This window comes from Homo sapiens, chromosome 19 (assembly GCF_000001405.40).
Source record: "Homo sapiens chromosome 19, GRCh38.p14 Primary Assembly".
Classification (NCBI taxonomy): domain Eukaryota; kingdom Metazoa; phylum Chordata; class Mammalia; order Primates; family Hominidae; genus Homo; species Homo sapiens.
The window spans coordinates 7,340,499-7,357,022 of NC_000019.10; the positions used below are offsets into that span (position 1 = coordinate 7,340,499).

Sequence of the window (16,524 nt, forward strand, 5' to 3'; positions counted from 1 at the left end):
GTTCAAGTGATTCTCCTGCCTCAGCCTTCCGAGTAGCTGCAATTATAGGTGCCCACCACCACACCCAGTTAATTTTTGTATTTTTAGTAGAGACAAGGTTTCTGCATGTTGGCCAGGCTGGTCTCTAACTCCTGGCCTCAAGTGATCCACCTGCCTCAGCCTCCCCAAGTGCTGGGATTACAGGCATCAGCCACTGCACCCGGCCACGTTTATATAGATTTTTATGTATTAAGTATTTCTGTGGTTTCATTCATAGCTTCTGGGTTTTCTGTCTTAGTTAAAACACACACACAACAATTTCAAAAAAAGCATGTTTTCAACCCTCAATTGTAAAAATAGCCTTGTAAATTCCTTCTATGATCTGTATTGGTTTATTGTTCACATTTCATCTTTAACCCAACTGAAATTATGTTGTTTTCTGCAGCACAGGAATATTTCACTCTGCCACGTCTCTGTCAAAAGTGGGAGAAAAGGCCAGGTGTGGTGACTCACATTTGTAATCCCGGCACTTTGGGAGGCCGAGGAGGAAGGATCACTTGAGGCCAGGAGTTTGAGACCAGCCTGGCCAACACAGTGAGACTACTCCAAGAAAAAAATAAGCGTGGTAGAAGGAAGGGCAAACCCGTGTCTCACACCCCATGGCCCTCACTAACTCAGGCTGCTGCCTGGCCCCTGTAAGCCTTCCGGCTTTCCACAAGGGTCGGTTTTTTTTCCTGTTTTGCTTTCTGTGGTCTTTCTGGCCAGAGGAGAAGCCATGGGGAAGTGCTGCCCCCACGTGGCCATCTCCATGATAGCAGCTAAGGCTGGAAGAAAAAGGCTTTTTGTTGTTGTTGTTTGAGATGGAGTCACTAGGCTGGATTGCAGTGGTACGATCTTGGCTCACTGCTATCTCTGGCTCCCAGGTTCAAGCGATTCTCCTGCCTCAGTCTCCCGAGTAGCTGAGACTACAGGCGTGTGCTACCATGCCCGGCTAATTTTTGGATTTTTAATAGAGACGGGGTTTCACCATATTGGCCAGGCTGGCCTTGAACTCCTGACCTCACGATCCGCCTGCCTCGGCCTCCCAGAGTGCTAGGATTACAGGCATGAGCCACCGCACCTGGCCAAGGCATCTTTTAAAGCTGAAAGCAAAATAGGTTCACAGGCCCCTGCTTAAAACCCTCCAGGGGCGGCTGATGCCTGTAATTCCAGCATTTTGGGAGGCCGAGGTGGGAGGATCACTTGAGCCCAGGAGTTTGAGATCAGCCTGAGCAATATAGCGAGACCCTGTCTCTACAAAAAATAAAATAAGGCCGGGCAGGGTGACTCATGCCTGTAATCCCAGCACTTTGGGAAGCCGAGGTGGGTGGATCACCTGAGGTCAAGAGTTCAAAACCAGCCTGACCAACATGGTGAAACCCCATCTCCACTAAAAATACAAAAAAAAAAAAAAATTAGCCACGTATTGTGGTACATGCCTGTAATCCCAGCTACTTGGGAGGCTGAGGCAGGAGAATCTCTTGAACCCAGGAGCCGGAGGTTGCAATGAGCCAAGACTGCGCCATTGCACTCCAGACTGGGCAATAGGGTAAGACTCTGTCTCAAAAGGACAAAAATAAAATAAAATAGCAAGGCGCGGTGTTGTATGCCTGTGGTCGCAGCTACTCCAGAGGATGAGGAGGGAGGCTGGCTTGAGCTTGGGAAGTCGAGGCTGCAGTGAGCTATGATCACACCACTGTACTCCAGCCTGGGTGACAGAATGAGACCCTGTCTCTCAGAAAACAAGAATAAAAACTTTATTTACAAAAGTAAGCATTGGGTTAAACTTGGCCTAAAGGTTATACTTTGCTGACCTGTGTTCTATTGCATATATTCTGCTGGACGTGATGGCTCACATCTGCAATCTCAGCACTTTGGGAGGCCGAGGCAGGTGGATCACTTGAGGCCAGGAGTTTGAGGTCAGTCTGGCCAACATGGTGAAACTCTGTTTCTACTAAATATACAAAAATTATCCAGGTGTGGTGGCACATGCCTATAATCCCCAGCTATTCGGGCGGCTGAGGCAGGAGAATCGCTTGAACCCGGGATGCGGAGGTTGCAGTGCAGTGAGCCGAGATCACGCCACTGCACTCCAGCCTGGGAAACACAGTGAGACTCTGTCTCAGAAACAAACAAACAACACCACAAAAGAAGAAGGAAGGAAGGAAGGAAGGAAGGAAGGAAGGAAAAAAAATCTCTCCAGCGGTACATACCCAAATGTTGAAAGCAGGGACTCAAAACAAATGTTTATACACCCATGTTCTTTTTTTTTTTTTTTTGAGATGGAGTCTCGCTCTGTCGCCCAGGCTGGAGTGCAGTGGCGCGATCTCGGCTCACTGCAACCTCCGCCTCCCGGGTTCAAGCAATTCTCCTGCCTTAGCCTCCCAAGTAGCTGGGACTACAGGCGAGCGCCACCACGCCCAGCTAATTTTTGTACTTTTAGTAGAGACGGGGTTTCACCATGTTGGCCAGAATGGTCTCGATCTCTTGACCTCGTGATCCACCCGCCTTGGCCTCCCAAAGTGCTGGGATTACAGGCGTGAGCCACCACGCCCAGCCTATACACCCATGTTCTTAGCAGCATGATTCACAATTACCAAAAGATAGAAATAACCCAATTATCCACCAATGGAATATGATTCAGATGCAAAAAGAAGGAAATTCTGACACCTGCTGACATGGATGGACCTTAAAGACATTACGCTGGGTGAAAGAAACCAGGCACAGTAGGACAAATCCTGTGTGATTCCACTTATAGGAGGTCCCTACCGTCACTAGATTGACAGAGACAGAAAGCAGAATGGTGGGTGCCAGGGGCTGGGGAGGGAGATGGGGAGCGAGGGTTTCATGGGGACAGAGTTTCAGTTTGGAGATGAGAAAGTGCTGGAGATGATTGCACAACAATGCGAATGCATTTAATGCCACTGAACTGTGCACTTAGAAATGGTTAACAAGGGCCAGGGGCGGTGGCTCACGCCCGTAATCCCAGCACTTTGGGAGGCCGAGGTGGGTGGATCACCTGACATCAGAAGTTTGAGACCAGCCTGGCCAACATGGTGAAACCCTGTCTCTACTGAAAATACAAAATTAGCTGGGCATGGTGGCAGGTGCCTGTAATCCTAGCTACTTGGGAGGCTGAGGCAGGGGAATCGCGTGAACCCAGGAGGTGGAGGTTGCAGTGAGCAGAGATTGCGCCATTGCATCCCAGCCTGAGCAACAAGAGAGAAACTCTGTCTCAAAAAAAAAAAAAAAAAAAAAAAAAAGGTTAAAATGGGCTGGGGGCAGTGGCTAATGCCTGTAATCCCAACACTTTGGGAGGCTGAGATGGGAGGATTGCTTGAGTCTAGGAGTTTAAGACCAGCCTGGGCAACATAATGAGACCCCTTCTGTACAAAAAATAATTAAAAATTACCCGCTCATGGTGGCACGCACCTGTAGTCCCAGCTACTCGGGAGGCTGAGGCAGGAGGATTGTTTGAGCCTGGGACATTGAGGCTGCAGTGAGTTGTGATCCCACCACTGCACTCCAGTCCAGGTGACAAAGACCCTGTCTCAAAAACAAACAAACAAACAAACAAAAACAAAGGGTTAAAATATAGAATTAATCATGTCTTTTGCAGCAATATGAATGGAACTGTAGGCTGTTATCATCTTAAGTAAAACAGTTCAGAAATAGAAAGTCAAATACCGCATGTTCTCACTTATAAGCGGGAATTAAATCATGTGTATACGTGGTCATAGTGCGGAATTTTAGACAGTGGAGACCCGGAAGGGGTAAAGGAGGAAGGGCGGGAGGGGTAAGGGATGAGAAATGACTTAATGGCTACAATGTACATTACTTGGGCGATGGTTACACTAAAGCCCAGGCTTCCTGCTGCGCAATCTATCCATGTAACAAAGTTGCCTTTATACTCCTTAAATGTATACACATTTTAAAAATCATTTTTTAAATTTAAAAAAATGGTTAAGGCCAGGCACGGTGGCTCACGCCTGTAATCCCAGTACTTTGAGAGGCCGAGGTGGGCAGATCTCTTGAGGTCAGGAGTTCGAGACCAGCCTGGCCAACAGGATGAAACCCCATCTCTACTAAAACTACAAAACATTAGCCAGGTGTCGTGGCAGGTGCCTGTAATCCCAGCTACTCAGGAGGCTGAGGCAGGAGAATTGCTTGAACCTGGGAGGCGGGGGTTGCGGTGAGCCGAGATCGTGCCACTGCACTCCAGCCTGGGCAGCAGAGCGAGACTCCGTCTCAAAAACAAACAAACAAAAAAGGTAAAAGGGTAAATGTTATGTTATGTGTCTTTTCCCACCAACGCAAGCAGTAAAGGGTAGAGCAGGTGGTGGCCCTCCCTGCGGGCTGGACGGGGTGGTGGAGGGGAAGGAAGGGAGCCAGGTGTGCACAGCCGAGGGGTGGCCTCTGCATTCGGCCTTAAGGCCAATATCAGGTGTCCGGGGCGCAGTGGGGACAGAGGCCAGGGTTCAGAGAGTGGGGAAGCGTGGACAGGAAGTGTGGACGGTACTCCCAAACAGCACAGAGTATTTCTACAGCACAGAAATATTTCACTCTGCTATGTCTCTATCAAAAGTGGGAGAAAAGGGCAGGTGCGGTGTGTCGTATTTGTAATCCCAGCACTTTGGGTCCTGTGACAGTCCTCCTCCGCCTGGCTCCAGCCACACCTGCTTCCTTCTGTTCCTCAAACACCCCAAGCTCAGTCTTGCCTCCAAGCCTTTGCCCTGGCAGTTTTTACCACCCAGAATAACTTTCCCCTAGATTTTTTTTTTCTCACTCTATCACCCAGGTGGGAGTAGGGTGGCACAATCTCGGCTCACTGCAGCCTCTGCCTCCCAGATTCAAGTAATTCTCCTGCCTCTGTGTCCCGAGTAGCTGGGATTACAGACAGACGCCACCACACCCGGCTAATTTTTGTATTTTTAGAAGAGATGGGGTTTCCCCATGTTGGCCAGGCTGGTCTTGAACTACTGACCTCACGTGATCCACCCGCCTCGGCCTCCCAAAGTGCTGGGATTACAGGCGTGAGCCCCCACGCCCAGCTAGACATTGATTTATATGCCTGACTTCTTCTGAGCTTACAGATCTCAGCTCAAATGGCCTTCCCTGACCTTCCCAGCTAAAGCATCAACCTCCCCCACCCACTCTATCGCATCACTCTGTTTACTTCCTGTTGCGGCAATTCACAGCACCTGAATTTATCTCCTAGGTGTGTTTCCTGATTCACTGTTTGCCTCCCCCAGCTGGAGCTCCTGCAGGGCGGGGGTTTGTGTCTGTCTTGTTCACCGTGATCCCACACCTGCCACAGTGCCTGGCATACAGTAGGTGCTCGATAAATGCATGTTGCCTGAAAGAAATAATCAACTGGTTACAGAATGGGTGTGTGCAAATCTGTGTATATCTGTGTCTCCTTGTGTTCTGTGTGTGTCTCGTTGGTGTGATTCTGGGGATGGCCCCACCTGTGTCCCCAGGGACAAGCGCGGCGCTATGGGCCAGTGAGTGTTTGTGGTGAGGGCTTTCCGGGTCTGTGTGTTAGTGATTTTGAGTGGTCCCGTGGCAACCGGTGTGCAAGTCAGTGTCTCCAGAGGTGTTCTCAGAGGTGGCCAGCATCTGCTCTTTTTTGTTGTTGTTGTTTTGTTTTTGTTTGTTGTTTAAGATGGAATCTCACTCTGTTGCCCAGGCTGGAGTGCAGTGGCATGATCTTGGCTCACGGCAACCTCCGCCTCCCGGGTTCAAGCCATTCTCCTGCCTCAGCCTCCCGAGTAGCTGGGATTACAGGCACATGCCACCACACCCGGCTAATGTTTATATTTTTAGTAGAAATGGGTTTTCACCACGTTGGCCAGGCTGGACTCAAACTCCCGACCTCAGGTGATCCACCTGCCTCGGCCTCCCAAAGTGCTGAGATTATAGGCATGAGCCACCGCGCCTGGCCAGCAGCATCTGCTCGTGTGTGTGTGTGTGTGTGTGTGTGTGTGTGAGTGTTCTGTGTGACTGTGGCTGTGAGTCCACATGTGTGTCGGGGTGTTTGTTGTGTATGTGTGTCTGCATGCCCATTCTGCATGTCCACATGACACTGCATGCTCCTGTGTGAAGTTGTGCCCATGAGCACACGTGTCTGTGTTTGCGTATCCTTGTGTGTCCTCTGGGTGTGTCCTTGAGCTTTGTGTTCCAGGAGCCTGCAGCCCTGTTGTGCAGCGCTGTTGTGCTCTGTTGTGCACGTGCATGTGTCTCGTGTCCTCTGTGTGTGGGGTGGCTCCTACATGTAGTTGTGCACACTTGTATCTGCCTCTGTGAGTCCCTGTGCCTATGTGTGACCATGTGTGAAGTGTGATTGTGCAGTATCCCAAAACCATCTGTGTGCACCGCTGTGCAGTAGTGTGCTGGTAAATGTTGAACCTCTCCAGTGGAGAGCACTGATTTATAGCATTGCCAGTCCTCATGGTGTAAATACTCTCGCCACAGCCAATTTCAAGTGATGCCACCGAACAGTGAGTCAGAAAGATATGGACAGCAGCAAACCATTATACAGTATTTCTACCAAACAGGTTCCATACACAAAAGCAACATCAAAAGCATAGATTATGAGGCCAGGTGTGGTGGCTCACACCTGTAACCCCAGCACTTCCGGAGGCTGAGGTGGGCGAATCCTCTGAGGTCCGGAGTTCGAGACCAGCCTGGCCAACATAGTGAAATCCCGTCTCTACTAAAAATACAAAAATTAGCCTGGTGTGGTGGGGGTCACCTATAATCCCAGCTACCTGGGAGGCTGAGGCAGGAGAATCACTTGAACCCAGGAGGCAGAGGTTGCAGTGAGCTGAGATTGCACCACTGCACTCCAGCCCGGGCAACAGAGCAAGACTCCATCTCAAAAAAAAAAAAAAAAAAAAAAAAAAAAAAAAAAGGAAAAGGAAAAAAAGCATAGATTATGGAAAATGCAGCAAAAATAATGTTAAAGTGATTAATTTAAATGTGGTAAAATAGGCATAACGTAAAATTTACCATTTTAACTTTCTTTAAAAAAAATGGGATTTCACTCTGTCACCCAGGCTGGAGTACGGTGGCACAATTATAGGTCACTGCAGCTTTGAACACCTGGGCTCAAGTGAGCCTCCCCGCCTCAGCCTCCGGAGCGGCTGGGACTGCAGGCAGGCACCACCAAATGTGGCGAAGTTTTAAATTTTTTGTAGAGTACTCACTCCAGTGACAGGCTGAAGCCAGCCCAAGAGCCAAGTTTAGTGGAGCATCATGGCTCATGCCTGTAATCCCAGCACTTTGGGAGGCCAAGGCGGGTGGACTGCTTGAGCCCAGGAGTTTGAGACCAGCCTGGGAAACATAATAAAATCCCTGTCTCTACAAAAAAAAAAAATTAACTTAGGCTGGGCGCCATGTCTCGTGCCTCTAATCCCAGCACTTTGGGAGGCCAAGGTGGGAGGATTGCTTGAGCCCAGGAGTTCGAGACCAGCCTGGGCAATATGGTGAGACCCTGTCTGTACTAAAAATACAAACCAAAAAAAAATAGCCAGGCGTGGTGATGTGTGCCTGTGGTCCCAGCTACTCAGGAGGCGGAGGTGGGAGGATCACTTGAGCCCAGGGGATGGAGGTTGCAATGAACCAAAATCACCCCCACTGCACTCCAGCCTGGATGACAGAGTGAGAGCCTGTCTCAAAAGAAAAATTATATATAAAAAATTATATATAAATTATATATAAGTCTATATATAATCCATATATAATTATATATAAAGTATATATAAATTATACATAAATTATCTGTAAACAAAAAACTTAGCCAGGCATGGTGGCATGTGCCTGTAATCCCAACTACTCAGGAGGCTGAAGCAGAAGGATCACTTGAGCCCAAGAGATTGAGGCTGCAGTGAGCTATGATTTTTCCACTGCACTCCAGACTGGATGACAGAATGAGACCCTATCTCTAAAAATAAAATAAACAGTTTTTTGTTGTTGTTGTTGTTGTTTTCTAAAAAAAGCCAAATCTGAGCATTTCCTATCAACTCCACACTCGGTGACATCACACTGGTAGGTGAAATCGGCCATGCTGGGGGTATTTACACCAGGAGAATTGGCAATGGCTACAAATCGGAGAGGTGGTTGTTAAACGTTACCAGCACACCATGTTGTTCCGCCAGCTTCCAGGTACCCATGTAACAATGTAGCCACGTGTGTTTCTGTCTCTCTGTGTGTACCCACCATGCTGGTGTGTGTCTGGGTGCCTGAGTCTCTACGGATACACATGACCTGCACGTCCCTATATGTTGCTGTCTATACACCCATGTGCCTGGGTGAGGCCCCCACACCCTGTTCCTCTTCAGCAGTTGGTTCCACAGGAAGCTGCTGGGGTGGGGGTTGAGGACGCTGGGCCTCCCTCCAGCTCCCCACCCCTCCTCCTCAAGACACCTGCATGCGCAGGGCTGAGGGGTGGGAGCAGGGCTCTCTGCCTCCAGAACCCCCATCCTCTGGGCTCTTTTTAGGCCCCTAGATTGGCCTGCAGCTGGGAGCAGAGTGGCAAGCATGCAGGCAGGCAGTTGAGAAAGAGGAAGTCGAGGTGCTATTGGGTCATTCTGTGGTTATCCCAGGCTCTACCCAGCCAGCGGTTCCCTTGGGCCAGCTCGAAACGCTGGCCGTAGGTCATGGGAGCTGCAGGAGCTGTTAGCCAGGCTAGGTGCCTGCAGGTTGAAGAACTGAGCTCTATCTGGTAAGTACTTATCCTGGGAAGTGGAGAGAGATGGACCCATCGGGACAGAGTGGCAGTGGGGTCTGGGAAGTCTAGGGGGACAGCGAGCAGACATACATCACTGTTTCTCTCCCCCTTGCAGTCAACTTGCTTCCTGAGTGGGTGGGGGAAGCTGTTTGACCCTTGCGTTCATTGTGCAGAGATCTGTGGTCATAAGAGGTCACCCCAGGGGACGGGGATCCTTGAGGGGCTGCTAGGTAAGAAAGGAGGGTGGAGGCCGGGCGCGGTGGCTCACACCTGTAATCCTAGCACTTTGGGAGGCTGAGGAGGGCGGATCACTTGAGGTCAAGAGTTGGAGACCAGCCCGGCCAACATGGTGAAACCCCGTCTCTACTAAAAATACAAAAATTAGCCAGGCGTGGTGGCGGGCAGCTGTAATCTCAGCTACTCGGGAGGCTGAGGCAGGAGAATGGCTTGAACCCGGGAGGTAGAGGTTGAAGTGAGCCTCTCAGTCTCAAAACAAAGAAAAGAAAAAGAAAAGCAAAGAAAGGACGATAGAGCTCCTTGTAGCCAAGGCCCTCCTGCGTGGAGACAGGAGACAGAGAATGAATGGGGGAGCTGGGGCAAAGGCTCAGGTGCCCTTTGCATCTTAAACTGCAGATTCCGGGCCCCCCAAGAACCTCCCTGTTGCAGATTCTGAATCCACTGTCAAAACAAACTCACACTTAAGGCTGATGGCTGACAACCAGCCCTGAGAAGGGTCTTGTCCTGATCTGAAATCATCCAGAGAGCACATCCCTCCACCCAGGCAGCCTTCCTCCAGGTGAGGGTTCTCCCCCTTGGGAGACATCCCCTGTCTCCTCTCGTGGCCCCTTCTTAGGGGGACCTCCTGCACCACCGCCTGCCTGGGACTGGGAGGGGTGGGGGAGGAAGGCTGCGGTTTCTGCTGGGCACACCCAGTCTGTTGTTTCCTGCCAGCCCCCAATGCTGCAGGGCAGGCTTCAGGCACCCTGAGGTCTAGGAAGGTGGCCCCAGAACCAGGAGGGAGTGAATTGAGCTAGAGTGGACAGCTGGGGCCAGAGAGGATGGAGCTAGGAAGTGACGCTGGGGGCTGATGCTCCAAGGCCAGGTCACCTGCAGTTCTGAGAAAAGAACATGACAACCAAAGGAGGTCAGGAAAGGGTTGCCCTCATAATCAGCCACATTTCAACTCCCTTGCTGTGACTGGGAGTCACTCTGGGAGGGCTGCTTGGTAGAGGCAGCCTTTTCATTATGCCTTGAAGAACCAGTAGATGGCAACTGCAAACACGTCGGTGCTTCTGGTCTGGGCTGTCTCCCATGCCTCCCTGGGCATCCCCTAGCCCATGACAAAGGGATGGGCATATGTTGATGCTCGATACTGTTGTAGATGACATGGTGACTGTGTTGGACAGCTGGGCGTTCAAATCCCAGTTCCCTGGCCTCTATGTGGCCTTGGGCAAATGACTTAACTGCTCTGAGCTTTCGTTTGCTCATCTGTTAAAAGGCTGTTGAGTTTTTTGGGGTGGGTGTGTGTGTGTGTGTGTGTGTGTGTGTGTGTGTGTGTGTGTGTGTGTGTGTTGGAGATAGAATCTTGCTCTATCGCCCAGGCTGGAGTACATTGGTGCAATCTCAGCTCACTGCAACCTCCGCCTCTCGGGTTTAAGCAATTCTCCTGCCTCAGCCTCCCAAGTAGCTGGGATTACAGGCACACGCCTCCATGCCCAGCTAATTTTTGTATTTTTAGTAGAGACAGGGTTTCACCATATTGGTTAGGCTGGTCTTGAACTCCTGACCTCAGGTGATCTGCCTGCCTTGGCCTCCCAAAGTGCTGGGATTACAGGCATGAACCACCTCGCTCAGCCTTTATGAAGTTTGGTCTGTGAGATCTTAGTGCAGTGTCTGGCACGTAATAGATCAGAAAACATTGTCAGCCTCACCTATGCCTTCATACTGACCTTGTCCCCAGGCCTTCCTTCCTGAGCAGTCCCACCATCTTCTGAAATGTTCTGGGTCATACCCATGGTGGATCTCAATCTGTAAGCAAGTCTGCTAGAGTGGACTTCTTTTGTTTGTTTGTTTGTTTGTTTGTTTGTTTGTTTTGAGATGGAGTCTTGTTCTATTGCCCAGGCTGGAGTGCAGTGGCACGATCTCGGCTCACTGCAAGCTCCACCTCCCGGGTTCACGCCATTCTCCTGCCTCAGCCTCCCAAGTAGCTGGGACTACAGGCGCCCGCCACCATGCCCGGCTAATTTTATGTATTTTTAATAGAGACGGGGTTTCACCGTGTTAGCCAGGATGGTCTTGATCTCCTGACCTTGTGATCCCCCCACCTCAGCCTCCCAAAGTGCTGGGATTACAGGCATGACCCACTGTGCCCAGCTAGAGTGGACTTCTTAAGGATCCCATCCAGCCATCCCTGTATCATATGCTACTGTATTTTCTCTCTGCCTCTCTCTCTCTCTCTTTTTTTTTTTTTTTTCTGAGACAGAGTTGCCCAGGCTGGAGTGCAGTGGCACAGTCTCAGCTCACTGCAACCTCCACCTCCTGGGTTCAAGCAGTTCTCCTGCCTCAGCCTCCTGAGTAGCTGGGATTATAAATGCATACCACCACACCTGGCTAATTTTAGTAGTTTTAGTAGAGACAGGGTTTCACCATGTTACCCAGGCTGGTCTTGAATTCCTGACCTCAGGTGATCCACCTGCCTTGGCCTCCCAAAGTGCTGGGATTACAGATGTAAGCCACTGCACCTGGCCTGTTGTATTTTTAATTCTAGCATCTTTATCTCCTGTAGGGCTGTTGCTATTGTCTGTGTTTCTTCTTGTTTTTTGGTCATGAGGTTCTGTCTTCTAGTATGCCTGGTAGTCTGATTAAATGCCAGGCCTTGTTTGTGAAAAACTATAGGGATAATTTGTGTCTCTTTATGGTGTCATTTTCCTCCATAGAGCGTTTATTTTTGCTTTGGGCAGGCAGTTAGAGAAAGGAAAGATCACTTTAATCTGATTGTGACCTATGCTGACTTGAAGATGGATTTTGCTCTCGGTGAGGGCTAGTCTATGTCTGGTCCCTCCTTGCTCCTAGGGTGTAGTCTTTTAGGGGTGGCAATCACCTCCTCTTTTTGGGCCCTGAATTCCAATGTTTATTTCCCCAACATAAGATTGCTAAGAGCTACATTCAGGTTCTCAGGCTTTTTCTGGTCTGCCTCCCACTCACTCAAGAACTGTGTTCAAATCAACAACTTGTTTGTGAGGGAAAAGCATTACATTATGTCCTTCTCACTTTCCTAGGTTTCCTTTTTTTTTTTTTTTTTTTTGAGATGGAATCTCACTCTGTCACCCAGGCTGTCGTGCAGTGGCATGATCTGGGCTCACTGCAAGCTCCACCTCCCAGGTTCACGCCATTCTCCTGCCTCAGCCTCCCGAGTAGCTGGGAATACAGGTGCCTGCCACCACGCCCGGCTATTTTTTTGTATTTTCAGTAGAGACGGGGTTTCACAGTGTTAGCCAGGATGGTCTCGATCTCCTGACCTCATGATCCGCCCACCTCGGCCTCCCAAAGTGCTGGAATTACAGGTGTGAGTCGCCGTGCCTGGCCTTTTTTTTTTTTTTTTTTTTTTGACATAGACTCTTGCTCTGTCATCCAAGCTGGAGTGCAGTGGCATGATCTTGGCTCATCACAACCTCTGCCTCCCAGGTTCAAGCGATTCTCCTGCCTCAGCCTCCTGAATAGCTGGGATTACAGGCATCCACCACCATGCCTGGCTAATTTTGTATTTTTAGTACAGACGGGGTTTCACCATGTTGGCCAGGCTGGTCTCGAACTCCTGACCTCCAGTGAGTTGCCCACCTCGGCTTCCCAAAGTGCTGGGATTACAGGTGTGAGCCACCGCGCCTGGCCCCTAGGTTTCCTTTCTTTCCAGGGCCGTGATTCTTCCAACTCTGACTGCCAATGCCTTCCAAGCAAGGGTGGTTTTTCACTCTTCCAATTTTGTCCAGCTTTTCTATTTGTTCTTGGTGGGAGAATAAATCTGCAATAAGCTAGCCTGCCATCATTAGAAATACATATTCCAGCTGGGTGCAGTGGCTCACGCCTGTAATCTCAGCACTTTGGGAGGCTGAGGTGGTTGGATCACCTGAGGTCAGGAGTTCGAGACCAGCCTGGCCAATATGGCAAAGCCCTATCTCTACTAAGAATACAAAAAATTAGCCAGGCATGGTAGCGGGCGCCTGTAATCCCAGCTACTTGAGAGGCTGAGGCAGGAGAATCACTTGAACCCGGGAGGCAGAGGTTGCAGTGAGCCGAGATTGCGCCATTGCATTCCAGCCTCAGCAACAAAAGTGAAACTCCATCTCAAAAAAAAAAAAGAAAAAGAAAAGAAAAGAAAAAGAAAAAGAAATAGATATCCCTGTTGTATTTTTTTAAAGTGAGATTTAGCCAGGTGTGGTGGCTCACACCTGTAATCCCAGTACTTTCGGAGGCCGAGGTGGGAGGATCACCTGAGGTTAGGAGTTCAAGACCAGTCTGGCCAACATGGCAAAACCCTGCCTCTACTACAAATACAAAAATTAGCTGGGCATGGTGGTGCACGCCTGTGATCCCAGCTACTAGGGAGGCTGAGGCAGGAGAATCGCTTGAATCTAGGAGGTGGAGGTTGGAGGTTGCAGTGAGCTGAGATCAGCCACTGCACTCCAGTCTGGGTGACAGAGCAAGACTCTGTCTAAAAAAAAAAAAAAGAAAGAAAGAAAAAGAAAAGAAATAGATATCCCTGTTGTATTTTTAAAGTGAGATTTGGCTGGGTGCCATGGCTCACGCCTGTAATCCCAAAACTTTGGAGGCTGAGCCAGGAGGGTCACTTGAAGCTCGGAGTTTGAGACCAGCCTGGGCAACATAGAAGACCCCATCCCTACAAAAAAGAAAAAAGTAAAAAAAATAGCCAAGTGTGATAGCATGCATGTACATTCCCAGCTACTCAGGAGTCTGAGGCAAGAGGATTGCTTGAGCCAACGGGTTCGAGGCTGCAGTGAGCTATAGATCATACTACTCCAGCCTGGGTAACAGAGTGAGATCCTGTCTCAAAAATAAAAGTTAAAAAATAACAGGCTCATGCCTGTTATCCCAGCACTTTGGGAGGCTGATTTGGGGCTGGGGGTGATTTGGGGCTGGGAAGTAATGTAAACAATTGGGAGACTGAAGGAGGGAGTCACACAGCAAGTACGTGCTGGAGGAGCTGGGATTTGAAGCCAGGATTTGAAGCAGGGATTTTTCAGACACAAGGAGTGAAGACGCTGATAAAGGAGCTTCCACCACGAGGGGGCAGCACCTGCACGGATGAGCACTCGTTGACACACACACACCATACCCCACACTTGGGTACAGAGAGAAAGGTGATGTGGCTCAATGCCTGCAATCCCAGCACTTTGCGAGGCCGCGGCAGGAGGATCGCTTGTGCCTGGGAGTTTTGAGACCAGCCTGGGCAACATAGTGAGACCCCAGCTCTACAAAAAATACAAAACTTAGCCAGTGTGGTGGCACACACCTGTAGTCCTAGCTACTCAGGAGGCTGAGGCCGGAGGATCCCTTGAGACCGGGAGTTGGAGGCTGCAGTGAGCTGTGGTCACGCCATTGCACTCCAGCCTGGGTGACAGAGCAAGACCCATCTCAAAACTAACAAACAACAAACAAAAAACAGAAACAGATGAAGACACAAATATGTAGAAACACAGAAACCCAGGCGGACACCAAAACCACCTCATAGATACTAGAAACAGATCTCCCCAAGACACAGATGAGTCATGTAGTTAAATCTGACCTCACGGATACCAATGGGCTTCACACACACACACACACACACACACACACACACACACACACACACAGACAATCACAGAGACACTTTTAAAACTATCTAGATAATCAAATACACCCCCACATTGACAAGCTGATATTCAGAACTCACCCTGAAACACAGAATCACAAACCCAAAAGCACGTGCTCTCTACACAACATGGAAATGCATCATCAAACCCACCAAGACGATGGCACGCACACACACACAAACACTCAGACATCCATGCACACCCAGGCTCCCCGAGGGACCCAGTTTGTACTTGTATTTCCCTAAGATTGTCTTGTCCAGCCAGGGTAAGAGGCCTGTAAGACTGGGTTTAAGGGACAGAGGGTGCTAAAGGGCTTGGCTTCTCCTCAAACCAGGGGTCCCTGGGCCCCTGAGCTGGAAACCCCAGCCCCCCTGCTGAAGCCCCAGGCTTCTATCAGCTGATGTATCTGGCAGACCTTGGAGGCAGTCTCCGCCCCTCTTACTGGCAGCCCCATCCTGGCAGGGATTCCCAGGCCAGCTCACACTCAAGCTCTCACACGCACGCATGGCCCCCATGGCTGACTCGGTGCTCAACCACTCCTGGCCGGCCTTCTCCAAGCTGTGGCTGAAGCGGTGGGCCTTCAAGAGAGGTAAGCAGCTGGCAGTGACCAGCGGGAGCCATCCACCCAGGTGGGGATCCCAGGACAGCCTGCCCGCCATCCCCCTTCGAGCTTTTTCTTGGCTGCAGTACAGACTCTGCTGGCATCGGCCCTGGATTCCATGACCCCTGATTCTCCAGGGCCCCCTGGAATTATCACAGACTTGTGGGGTCCCTCTTGTTTCAGAGGAAATGTCTCCCAAGACTTGGCCAGGAATTTGTCTCGGGCGGTAAATTTGCAGAAAGAAAGTCCGCCCTCTTAACTCAGCCGCTGAACTCCTCAGGGGCAGCCCAGCGATCTCCTGGGGGTCCCAGATGCTGTTGGTTTCTGGCCCAGCTGCAGGACAGGAGGCTCAGGGCAGAAACAAAAACGGGGGGATTAGAGGCTCTGGGGCACACACCTCCCTCCAACACACATACACACACACATCGGCTGGTGCTCTCTCTCTCAACCCCCAGGGTCCCCAGGCCTCAGGTGACCTCTCTGGGGACTGATAACAGCCTTTATTATGTCATCAAAGGCCTGAGTGAACTGTTGTTGCAAAGAGAGACACTTTTTCTTTTTTTTTTTTTTTCTGAGACCGAGTCTCATTCGGTCGCCGAGGCTGGAGTGCAGTGGCGCGATCTCAGCTCATTACTGCAAACTCTGCCTCCAGGGTTCAATTCATTCTCCTGCCTCAGCCTTTCGGGTAGCTGGAATTACAGGTGCCCCCCACCACACCTGGCTAATTTATATATTTTTCGTAGAGACGGGGTTTCACCATGTTGATCAGGCTGGTCTCGAACTCCTGACCGCAGGTGATCCACCTGCCTCGGCCTCCCAAAGTGCTGGGATTATAGGTGTGAGCCAGCGCGCCCAGCCATCAAAGAGACACTTCTTAATGCTCAAGAGTTTAGCCCTTGAAGATAACCAGATGATGTCCTGGTACGTAGGGCATGAGAGGACAGTGCTGGACAATATCATAAAAGCTGGTCATGCACTCATTGCCTCATGGGTTTTCTTGTCTCCGGCTCCCCACTGCCCATATGAGCGCCTCCTGGTCAGGCCAGCCGCATCGCTTAGCCTGCATGACTTGTTAGTCACAGCCACCATCACCTGCATGAGCCACGTACTTGTTCAAGGTAGCAGTGAGTTTTCATGAAAGAGGGGGCCAATGTGAAGATTCGTTAGCTCATTCATTCCACTGACCCTCCTTGAAGGCTCATTGTGTACCAGGCACTGTGCCGGGGTCAGGGAGCAGATGGGAGTGCCAGGGGACCCAAGGGCTGGGGTTAGGGGGAGAGAGGATGGCCTGGGAACTGGGATGCAAT

General features: G+C 50.3%; 1 protein-coding gene across 7 annotated transcripts in view, besides 4 other annotated features; it reads left to right on the forward strand.

The window, feature by feature from the left end:
* Positions 674-783: an enhancer, noted in NCBI's record as "active region_13877". NCBI's record gives its function as "activates an Ori minimal core promoter by ATAC-STARR-seq in GM12878 lymphoblastoid cells {active_cell/tissue: GM12878}" and the evidence as "EXISTENCE:reporter gene assay evidence [ECO:0000049][PMID:35858748]".
* Positions 844-913: an enhancer, noted in NCBI's record as "active region_13878". NCBI's record gives its function as "activates an Ori minimal core promoter by ATAC-STARR-seq in GM12878 lymphoblastoid cells {active_cell/tissue: GM12878}" and the evidence as "EXISTENCE:reporter gene assay evidence [ECO:0000049][PMID:35858748]".
* Positions 4,386-4,455: an enhancer, noted in NCBI's record as "active region_13879". NCBI's record gives its function as "activates an Ori minimal core promoter by ATAC-STARR-seq in GM12878 lymphoblastoid cells {active_cell/tissue: GM12878}" and the evidence as "EXISTENCE:reporter gene assay evidence [ECO:0000049][PMID:35858748]".
* Positions 8,439-16,524, forward strand: part of ARHGEF18 (Rho/Rac guanine nucleotide exchange factor 18) — a 131,053-nt gene continuing 122,967 nt past the window's right edge. For 5 of the 7 annotated variants that reach the window (XR_007066705.1, XM_011527836.3, XM_011527837.3 and 2 more), the window contains exon 1: positions 15,097-15,205. Coding sequence is in view for 4 of the 7 variants with exons in the window: in XM_011527836.3 (XP_011526138.1) it covers positions 15,121-15,205 (85 nt within the window). In the remaining 3 variants the exon portion in view is untranslated. Of the gene's footprint in view, positions 8,744-9,382; positions 9,546-15,096; positions 15,206-16,524 lie in introns of those variants that run through there. The other 2 variants (XM_006722706.4, NM_001367823.1) reach the window with 2 other exon arrangements.
* Positions 13,965-14,084: a silencer, noted in NCBI's record as "silent region_9978". NCBI's record gives its function as "represses an Ori minimal core promoter by ATAC-STARR-seq in GM12878 lymphoblastoid cells {active_cell/tissue: GM12878}" and the evidence as "EXISTENCE:reporter gene assay evidence [ECO:0000049][PMID:35858748]".